The sequence below is a fragment of the Homo sapiens genome, chromosome 7 (assembly GCF_000001405.40).
Source record: "Homo sapiens chromosome 7, GRCh38.p14 Primary Assembly".
Classification (NCBI taxonomy): Eukaryota; Metazoa; Chordata; class Mammalia; order Primates; family Hominidae; genus Homo; species Homo sapiens.
Genome location: NC_000007.14, coordinates 101257675 through 101259123, shown reverse-complemented (window position 1 = coordinate 101259123; position 1449 = coordinate 101257675).

Genomic DNA, 1449 nt, shown 5'->3' with positions numbered 1-1449 from the left:
AGAAAGCTTCCCCAGCTCATTTCTTTACTGTGAATTCTCTAATAGCCAATAAGAGATGAGCTTGGTGGTCGGGTGTGGTGGCTCACGCCTGTAATCCAAGTGCTTTAAGAGGCCGAGGCAGGCAGATCACATGAGGCCCGGAGTTCAAGACCAGCCTGGCAAACATGGTGAAACCCTGTCTCTACTAAAAATACAAAAATTAGTTGGGTGTGGCGGTGCATGCCTGTAGTCTCAGCTACTTGGGTGGCTGAGGCAGGAGAATCGCTTGAACCTGGGAGGCGAGGTTGCAGTGAGCTGAGATTGCACCATAACACCCCAGCCTGGGTGACAGAGCAAGACTTCATCTCAAAAAAAAAAGAGGTGAAATTGGATTGAAACCTCTTCCATCGTCTTCACATTCCCTGAGGCTTTTTTCCAACATGAAGTGTCAGATGATGAATGAGGCTCAATCACCACTGAAAACTTCCCCACATTGCTTGCACTTATAAGGTTTTTTCTCCAGTGGGAATTATCTGATGAGGAGAAAGGATTGAACTTCCTCCAAGCAATTTCCTGCATGCTCTGCACAAAGAGAGTTTCTCTCTCATGTGAATTATTTGGTGCTGAAAAGTTGATTGTTTTGTTTTGGTTTTACTGAGACAGCATCTGGCTCTGTCATCCGAGCTGGAGTGCAGTGGCACAATCATAGCTCATTACATCCTGAATCTCCTGGGCTGAAGTGATCCTCCCGCCTCAGCCTCCTGAGTAGGTGGGACTATAGGCACATGCCACCACACATGGCTATTTTATTGTTTGTTTATTGAGACGGAGTCTCGCTCTTGTCGCTCAGGCTAAAGTGCAGTGGCGTGATCTCAGCTCACTGCAACCTTCGCCTCCTGGGTTCAAGCTTCTCCTGCCTCAGCCTCCTGAGTAGCTGGGATTACAAGCATGGCCACCACACCTGGCTAATTTTTGTGTTTTTAGTAGAGATGGGGCTTCACCATATTGGCCAGGCTGGTCTTGAACTCCTGACCTCAGGTGATCCGTCTGCCTCGGCCTCCCAAAGTGCTGGGATTATAGGCGTGAGCCACCGCGCCTAGCCTTTTTTATTTTTTTTGAGACGGAGTCTCGCCCTGTCGCCCAGTCACCGAGGTTGGAGTGCAATGGTGCCATCTCGGCTCACTGCAACCTCTGCCTCCTGGGTTCAAGCAATTCTCCTGCCTCAGCCTCCCAAGTGGCTGGGATTACAGGTGCCCGACACCATGCTCAGCTAATTTTTGTACGTTTACTAGAGATGGGGTTTCACCATGTTGGCCAGGCTGGTCTCGGTCTCCTGACCTTGTGATCCGCCAGCCTCAGCCTCCCAAAGCGCTGGGATTACAGGCATGAGCCACCGCGCCCAGCCTTCTTTTTTTTTTTTTTTTTTTCCGTAGAGACAGAACCTCATTATGTTGCCCAGGCTGGTCTTGA